This window comes from Homo sapiens, chromosome 15, assembly GCF_000001405.40.
Source record: "Homo sapiens chromosome 15, GRCh38.p14 Primary Assembly".
Lineage (NCBI taxonomy): Eukaryota > Metazoa > Chordata > Mammalia > Primates > Hominidae > Homo > Homo sapiens.
Genome location: NC_000015.10, coordinates 70,191,411 through 70,200,186, shown reverse-complemented (window position 1 = coordinate 70,200,186; position 8,776 = coordinate 70,191,411). Strand labels below are relative to the sequence as shown.

General features: G+C 52.7%; 1 pseudogene, besides 4 other annotated features; it reads right to left on the bottom strand.

Moving 5' to 3' along the window:
* Window positions 3,054-3,113: an enhancer, noted in NCBI's record as "active region_9675". NCBI's record gives its function as "activates an Ori minimal core promoter by ATAC-STARR-seq in GM12878 lymphoblastoid cells {active_cell/tissue: GM12878}" and the evidence as "EXISTENCE:reporter gene assay evidence [ECO:0000049][PMID:35858748]".
* Window positions 3,184-3,463: an enhancer, noted in NCBI's record as "active region_9674". NCBI's record gives its function as "activates an Ori minimal core promoter by ATAC-STARR-seq in GM12878 lymphoblastoid cells {active_cell/tissue: GM12878}" and the evidence as "EXISTENCE:reporter gene assay evidence [ECO:0000049][PMID:35858748]".
* Window positions 3,184-4,043: a biological region, named in NCBI's record as "H3K27ac-H3K4me1 hESC enhancer GRCh37_chr15:70488483-70489266".
* Window positions 3,260-4,043: an enhancer, noted in NCBI's record as "H3K27ac-H3K4me1 hESC enhancer chr15:70488483-70489266 (GRCh37/hg19 assembly coordinates)". NCBI's record gives its function as "activates a minimal SCP1, AML or CMV promoter by ChIP-STARR-seq in naive and primed H9 embryonic stem cells {active_cell/tissue: H9 hESC(naive and primed)}" and the evidence as "EXISTENCE:reporter gene assay evidence [ECO:0000049][PMID:30033119]".
* On the bottom strand, window positions 6,846-6,951 carry RNU6-745P (RNA, U6 small nuclear 745, pseudogene; annotated as a pseudogene).

The window sequence follows — 8,776 nt, the reverse complement described above, 5'->3', positions numbered from 1 at the left end:
ATTTTAGCCAATTCTCAAAACCAACCAAGAGGATGTCTTTGTAGATAACAAAATTGAGACTCAGAGAGGTCAAGTATGCTGTCCAGGGTCACACAGCTCATGAAAGTAGAACTTGGATTCAATCCAGGGCCGACTGCCACGCCTGTGTCTGCCCTTCCTGACGCCTCCACAGCCCGGGGGCTCTCTGGGGGTCCTTCTCTTGGTTTCAGAGCCTTCGTTTTCTTTGTCAGCCTCTCAGAAGGCTGCCGTAATTGCACTAGTGTCAGCGGGCAGAGCCCTGGGGGAAAGTGGGGAGGGGAGAGGGGCCGGCCTCTGCCAGCTTCAGCAGAACCCCTGAGACAGCTCTCCCTTAGCCCGGTAGGGACTCCAGAAAACCACCTCTGAGGACCATCGGGGAGCTGCTGGGGAAAGAGCTGCTGTTGTTTTGCATTACAAACTTCCTCGGGGCAATGTTATTCATGCTGAAGGTCCCCTGAGTGGCTGATGACACCCTCATAGATGGGCTGGTCCCCACAGACGAAGCTTCTGCTTCAGCTCTGCCCGGTAATTGCCAAGGCTTGCAAAATTTGAGAGTCTGTTAGCTGTTTTAAATTGAGTGCTAATCAGATGATGACGTTGTTACCAGGACAGTCTCTCAGGTCTCTCTTTCTCAGAAGGAACCATCTAATCCAACTCCCTTATTTTTTCCAGAGGAGGAAAATGACCCTGAGAAAAAGGAAGAGACTTGCCCAGGGTTGTAACTAACCCTGAGTTCTTTTTTGCAAGGGGTATTGGGCTGCACGTGTGCATGTACATACACACCTCTTCCCACTCTCATCTCTATATGAATTGACTGGGCCTCCTGGCTCCTTCCTCCCGGTTTTGAAGCACTCCCTGCCAGTGTTCTGGATGGGAGACTGGGGACCAGAGCTCCTCTCCTCTGCCCCATTCCCAGAGTGCCAGAAAACTTCATTCTCACATGGTTGTCACTGCTCCTGATCCACGAAGTGACCTGGGGCTTTACCGGGTATCACAGCCTGGTCTGGGCCATGGAGAAGGGGACAATCAGGGTACCCTTTCATTTCTCCCACACAAGGCCTCTGAGCCCCAAAGACAGTCCCAGAAACAACTGGGCTAAGTGGGGTGAGACCTCCCAACAGGAACTGCCCAGGGGATCCCATGGGAGCAAACTAGACCGGTGCTACTAAAAGTGTGGTCCACAGACCAATCAGCTGCATCGGCATCACCTGGGAACTAGTTTGAAATGCAAACTCACAGGCCCTACACCCAACCAACTGAATCATAATCCCTGGGGGAATATGGGGGAGACTCTGTTTCAATGGACCCCTTGGGGTTTTGGATGCACGCCTGGGTTTGAGAATGACAGTCTGGATCCAGCCCACCCCTGAATATCCTCCCCAGATGTGGAAGTCTTGAGGCTATGGATCCCAAAAGTGTGATGGCTTGGCCTAAAACAGAGGATGTCGGGAAAATAGAAAGCTCTGGTACCCTCCCTCTCAGCTGCACAGCCTCACCTCCCACACTCCTCACCGCAGTTTCCAGCTCCATGCACACAAGACCCCTCCCTGTTCCGCCATGCTCTGAGCCTAACCTGTTCCCACTGCCAGAAATGCCTGCCCCACCCCACCTCCTCCCCACCCTGATGGTTCAGCCCCAACTCATGTCTCATTTGCATCTAACCAGAGCTGCTCCTGGCCTTTTCCAACCAGAATTCCTTTCTCCCTCCTGAGAGCTTCAGTAGCACTTTAAAAATAATACTCCTCGAGCAAAACTCTATTGCCTGTGTTCTCTGAGCAGTGCATGGGTCTTCTCTGTACTCTTGAGTTCCTAGAGGCTCCACCACTTCTAACAATGCCTGGCCACAGTAGGTACGCAATGCGTGCATGTGTGTGTGTGTGTGTGCGTGTGTGTATTGAACTCCAATTGCACTGACCGCAGGGTCCCCAAGGATCAGGGTCTGTGGCAAACTATGTGTTTGTTCCAGACCCACAGCAGATGTCATCATTTCACAACCAGCAAGGGCGCCAGGCTCCCTTCACCTTTCCTCCCCGGGGCCCTTACAGGTTGACCTCAGGGTTATCTCTCAGGTCACGTCAGGGAGCCCTGGCTCACCTTTCCTCCGCTGGTTTCCCCTAACACACACCCATGCCAGCCTCTGGCCAACCCCACCCTGTTGAGACACGTCAGGCTGGGCCCAGTGCCTGAGGCACACCTGGGGGCAGCTGTGCTCAGTCCAGGAAGACGCCTGTGGTGTGACCTCCTGCATCACTCCTGACCCAGATCCGTAGAGCTTGTCCAGGGTGCTCACACAGCTCTCCTCTGGGCCCCACACAAAGTCTGCCCCTTCCAGGAAGCCTTCCTTGGTGCTCTGACCTAGGAAGCAGGAGATGTGGGTTCTCTCACACGCCCCTTTCCCACATCCCAGCAGGCTCATGCCCAGATCCTCCGTGCCTCAGGACTACAGAAGCTTCCTTAGTCACAAGCAGGGAGACTCACCTGCCTGAAGGCAGCAAGTTGGCCCCATGGGCTGCTAGCTCCACATCCAGAAACAAACTTTATGAAGTCGGATCTTATTCCGACTCCCACCTACCCCCACTGACCCCCACTTCTCTGAGTCCTGCTCACTGGCGGGAGTGGGGTGCTCACCTCATTTGCTCCCTGCTGCCTCAGGGAGCTTGCACGTGCTCTTCCCTCTGCCAGCAATCCCCTTTCCCTAAGCATTTCAAACACAGTACTGGGAACTAGTGGCGAGTGCAGCAGATGCAGGGACTTGGCTGGGAGTGGGATGGAGAAGGAGGACAATTGTGCGATGAAATGGCAGGACATGGGAAAATACAAAATAATAAACATCAAAAGTGCTGTCACTAATCTGCTGGGTGACTTTGAGTGAGTCCTTTTCCCATCCTGGGCCTGAGAGATAAAAGGCTTGAATTCCGTATTGCCACAGCATCATGCTCCAATCATGAGAAATAACTCAGTGATGCGTGTGTGGAGGGGGAGGGCCCGTGCATATGTGATAGAGAGAGAGAGGTGGGGGGGATTCCTCCAAGCACACATGGGCCCATTTAACCAGATTCTGCTTCACCTTCTTTTCTTTAATCCCCAGAGATGTGGCTTGCTCAGTGAACTGCCACTAAGTGCTCCCTAGGCACCCACTGGTGTCAGGTCCTCTGCTGGGGCCTACAGACGGGTCCCTTCCTTGAAGGGCTCATGCCTGACGATCATTAGCAAAGCCTTCCTGTGTCTAAAGGATCGCTTACTCCCTGTTTGCTCAGAGCTCAGGAGGCACAGCCTCACTAGAAGGTTTGGAAAGCACCCTGCGGTGGAAGGTACGTCACTGGCATGCAAATTGGGAGGCTTAGATGGCAGATAAAAGATTGGTTTGTGTCACAGGCAACGCCAGCCAGAGTGGTGTCTTGTTACGGTGTCTCTGGGCTGGACTCGGTGCCCCTGGAATGTGAACGAGATGCGCGGGGAGGTTTCCTGTTGATTCTTGTCCTGGCAGAGTGGTCCACTGGCTTAGCTGCTTCTCAAGTTGCACAACACCTGGGCCTCCCAGCGGGTGCTGCTGGTGCTGGAGGGGAGAGAAGCCTCCGCCTGCAGGGCCAGTGCCCTCCTCTGCCCACTGCCCGAGGTGAAAGGTGGATTCCAGGCCAGGCCCGGGTCGGGAGGTGACCCCAGCTCCTCCCCAGGAACTCTCCCTGGGAGGGGCCTGGTTGCTCTGAAGGGCACACGGCAGGGATGACACTGGCTAAGGGGGGAACAGTGGCAGGCCAGGGGAGGAGGGGGCCGGGCTGCTGTCCCTTCCTCAGGGGAAGGCTTGGAGCAGAGCCATTAGCCTGCCTGAATCCTATTATATGCAGGGCAACCTGTGAAGACCTTTCCCGTATTCCCTGTTGGCCTCACCATGTAACTGAGAGGAAAGGTGAGGACATGGGAGATGAAGTGACTTGCCCTGGGATTGTTTTTTTCCAAAGTTCAGGGATCTGACCTCTAATCCAATGTCCTGTCTGAAGGGCTGTTTGCCTGGTTGGAGCTCCCCAGAAGCCGGCAAGAGGCAAATATGCATCAGTTCAGCAGGGCGAGGGGCAGCCCGGGCTACCATGGCCCATTTAGAGGGCTCAGCTAACTTCAGGGTGTCCTGAGGCCACCAGCCTGGCTGGGAATACTCTCCTGCCTTCCTTCCAGCCTTCAGTGGGAGCTGCGTCCAGCTGGGCAGTGACTCAGCAGCCCTCATTCCCACGTGTGTGGGAGAGCAGGCCTCTCTCCCGGCTGTCGGCTTGGCTCCGTTGGCCTGTCTGGGGGTGCCCCAGCAGTCAGCCTGCCATCAGCAAGGCCCTGGGGCTCAGGCCAGGCTTCCCACAGCTCAATCACAGAGTTTGCTTTCTTTCCAGCCCTCCAGCCTTTCCCCCTGAGACTGGAGGGCCACTTCTAAGTTCCTCTGGCCACCTCAACCGTCCACTCAGCCAGGGAGCCAGGCTGTGGGTGACTTCCTCAGCACTGTCCCAGAAACCCTGTGCTGTCCTCAGAAGCAGCCCACCTCCCAGAGCAAATAGCTTGTTTGCCAGGCTCACGGGCCTCCCCGCCTGCTCAGAGTGCGTCCTGTGGTGCATGAAGAGAAGGAACTAGGCAAAACCCAGGCAAGAAAACGAGGGAGGGAAGTGGATCTTGGCTGGACCTTTAACAGGATGTATGGGAGGGTGAGCTACGGTGAGACTGTGCAGGTAGGGCACTAGCCCATCTGCTCACGACCAAGAAAAACATCACCCCACATGCCCTGGCTCCAACCCCAGGGATGGCGGGCTGGCGGCATTGGCATAGCTGTGGAAGCTTGAGCAAGGCTCGTAAATTCTCAGATCCCGTTTCACCATCTGTAAAATGGGCATGCTAATGCCTGTCAGCCAGGTTTGCTCTACACAACACATACAACCCTTTTTCTAAAGGGCTTGGTGGAAGGCCTGCTCCAACATGTTTCAGACATGGATATTGCTTTCCATCCTATGTGTGAGTCCAACAAGATTTGTGCAATCTTTTATTGGTCTCATTTCACGCTCATCATCCTGGGACCCTGTGGGAAAGGACCCATGAGGGACCTTGCAAATGCTGCCAGGCACTGCAAGTGCTGGCCACTGCTGCTGGTCCTCCCAGCAGCTCTCAGGGAAGCAGGGCAAGTGAGGAGCCTGGGTTGGAAACAAGAAATACTTTGCTGGCAGTCATTCCATAAGTTAAGACAACTACAGAAACTTTTATGGAGTACCAAGTATGTGTCAGTCACTGAGAGAGACACTTAGGGACACTGAGGTGCCTAAGACATGGTCCCTGCCAAAAACAGGCCTATGTGGCAGAGGAAGGAAGGAAAGAGGAGGGAACATGCAAACAACCTCCATCCCAGATAGGCGAAAAGTAGGCTGCGCATGAGGTATAGACACCTCGCCTGGGAAATCCCAATGCAGCGAGAAATCAGGGCTGCTCCAGGGGAACAGAAAAGGCTGCACGGAGAAGGAGCAGGAGTTTGCAGGGTGGAGAAGGGAGAGACAGGCCCCAGGGGCTCCAGTAGGGAGCACGTGCCTGGACTGACCAGGGGACGGGGTCTCTCCTAGAAGACCCAGATGTGCTGAGGCTCCTCCATGCCAGCACATTTGGCTCCACAGGTATTGCAAGACCCCCATGGGGTGTCGAGACACATCCTATGACCTAGATCTCTGCCTTCCAGGAACTGGTTGGGTGAGATGAGACTCATCCTGGGCATACGTAGAGAGCAATTTTTACCAGCATGTCTCCAACTGCAGGTGTGGCCTATGACATCTGATGTCACTTCCCTCCTCAGGTGGCCCTGCCAGCCCCTCTGCAAAAGGGGGCATAGGCACACAATTTTGCACATCGTTTCCAGGGGCTCAAGGATGTCCCTCACCAGCCCATCTCCTTTGAGGAACCCTCAATGTGATTCAACTCCGGGGTTTTGCAGATGAGGAAACTGAGGCAGAGAAAGAATGTGCCTTGCCGAAGGTGTGTGGTGAGTCAGGACGGAATAGGCCTAGACTTTTGGCTTCTGACCCAGAGTTCTCCCATTGGTGCCTGCTGCGGCCACCTCCTCAATCTGTGCCTCTGCCCAGCTGCAGTTTTCGGCATCCTGCCTCATGACAGAGGGGACAGCATGCACTTTCTATCCATCTCAGCCATAGCCTCTTCCCAACCTGTAGCTCCCCTCTTGGTGAAACTGCCTTTGCGCTTTCTTCCCACGTGCACGGTCCGGCTGGTTCTCTGCATCCTGGTGTCCCATCTCTGGGAAAGACTCCACCGTGCCCACACTCACTCAAGTTGCACAGGGACGTCTTTCTCCCCTTCTCCCCCTGCTCCCCCTCTATAGCCAACTCCTAGCTGGACTGGCCTCTCGCTCAAACCCAGTCCTTACTGTTTATCAACAGGAATCCAGGCCCTCTTCACCTCTTGCTGTGGCCATTATCACAGCCAGAAAAATATTTCTAAAGCACATGAACACGTCACTGTTCAGCTTAAAATCTTGCAGAGGTGCCCTGTGGCCTTGAAAATTAAGTTCAAGCCCTCGGTGTTGTCTACAAAGCCCCCCATGGCCAGCACAACCCTTCCTTCCCATGTGCCTGCATCCATTCTTGGCACCAGCTTGGCAAATGCTCCATGCCCCCAACCCCCTGAAGCCCATTTGCTCTGCTGCTCTTCCCATCCAGAGCAATAAGATGTGCATAGACCAGCTTCATACGTTTTAACCTTGAGGTTTGCTTGCATGCTTGTTTTTAAAATTCAGTTCCCTCTCGACGGCGATACTCTTAAAGGGGCCCATCCACTTTTCTACTTATGGGATTTTAAAAATCTATATGGAACACTTCATGAGTTTTGTCATCCTTGCACAGGGGCCATGCTAATCTTCTCTGTATTGTTCCAGTTTTTTAGTCTGTGTGCTGCTGATGCGAGCACTTTATGGTTTTAGAAGATAATCTTAGAAGCTTATGCACAAGATAATCATTTGTAAACACTCCCACAGTAGTTTTCTTACGTGGACTGACACAATTTTTTACATATAAGTACTTCTAGGGTCTGAAATTGAAGTCAGGACAAAGCGTAAATACAAGTGTCTATGACTAGCAACGTGTGCTGGCTCATTTGCTGATGAATAAATCGCTGAACCCAGAAGCTCAACCTAAACATTTAACAGGAACAAGGGCTGATCTTCAAAGTCCCAAACAGTTCAAAGTTGGAAGAGTAATTAAGAGCCATGGAGATGTGCTGTCAAACGGGCAGATGAGAGCCTGGGATGCCCCTTCCTCCCTGCCTGGGCTTGGCTTGATGGCAGAAGTCACAAATGCAGCCCAAAACGAACCGCATCCCCCTGGCTCTTAGAATTGGATCTTCAGCTTTCTAGAACAGCCCTTCCTGTGTTATGTCTGCAATGTGTAGAATCTGATAGGAAATTTGTTCCAAAGTTCAAAAACAACCGGACTTTGTAAATAGTTCCAAATAGAAGCCCTATTCATGCTGGGGAGGGAGTATGTGTGGGAGATGAGAAGGACCTTTACTCAGACAACCAGAGCGTTCCCGCTCCCAGCACCATGTCGGTGGACATGGGCCACTTCACTTCTCTGTCCCTGGTCTCCCTACCTGCATGATGCGGATTATAACAGTACTTACCTCCTTGGGCGGGAGAATGATAATTCGAGTAAAACACGGAGCATACAGTATGTGCTCAGTAAATATTAGTTGTGGAAGTTGCCAATAAGACCAACAGTGTGAGCAGAACAGCCATATATTTAATCAATATACATTAAAAATAATTTTTGGCAGAATGAGAATATCTGAGCTGTGCAAGCAAATGGTATGGGCCAGCATCTAGAACTGCAGCTCAGGAAGGAGAACTCAAGCAGAGCTGAAAAGCCTATGAGGAAGACAGATGGCAAGAGGAGTCGGCTGAATAGCGGCACCCAAAGACAGCAGGTCCTAATCCTGGAGCTGTAAATGTGACCTCATTTGGAGAAAAAAAAAAAAAAGTCTTTGCAGATGTGATTAAGTTAGAGAATCTGAGATGGGGAGATTATCCTGGATGATCAGGGTGTGTCCTAAATGCAATCACAAGTGTCCTTACAAGAGACGGGCAGAGGGAAATTTGACACACAGAAGAGAGACAGTGATGGGAATTGAGAAAGATCTGAAGATGCTGATATTGAAGATCGGAGTGATGAGGCCACAAGCCAAAGGATGCTAGCAGCTCCCAGAATCTGGAAGAAGTGAGAATAAATTTTCCTCTAAAGCCTCCAGAGGAAGCACAGCCCTGCCGGCTCCTTGATTTTAGCCCAGTGATGCTGATTTTTGACTTCTGTCCTCCAGAACTGTGAAATAAACCTCTGTTGTTTTAAGCCACCAAGTTTGGGGTGATTTGTTACAGCAGCCACAGGAAAACCAGCCAGTATAGTGGCTCGTGAGGCCCATTTTACTTTTGAGGAAATACAGACCCAGAGAGCAGCAGTGATTTGCACAGAGCCACACAGCACATTAGCCCCTTTGGCCGAGGCCAGACCAGGTTAACAGACCCTGAACCACTGCGCTCCTGCTTCCATCTGCCCCGCCTCCTCCTGGCCATGCTGGGACTGCTGGGAGGTCTTAGACCTGAGATGCCTCTAGTTTCCACAGTGGTGTGTAGTTGCCCCCAGGCGAATCTTGCTGGTGCCAAGCCCCAACCTGTGGCCACCATTGCCCTCAACCAGGATGCGCTCCCATTGCCTATGTCACAGGCTGGTTCTGTGGGAGT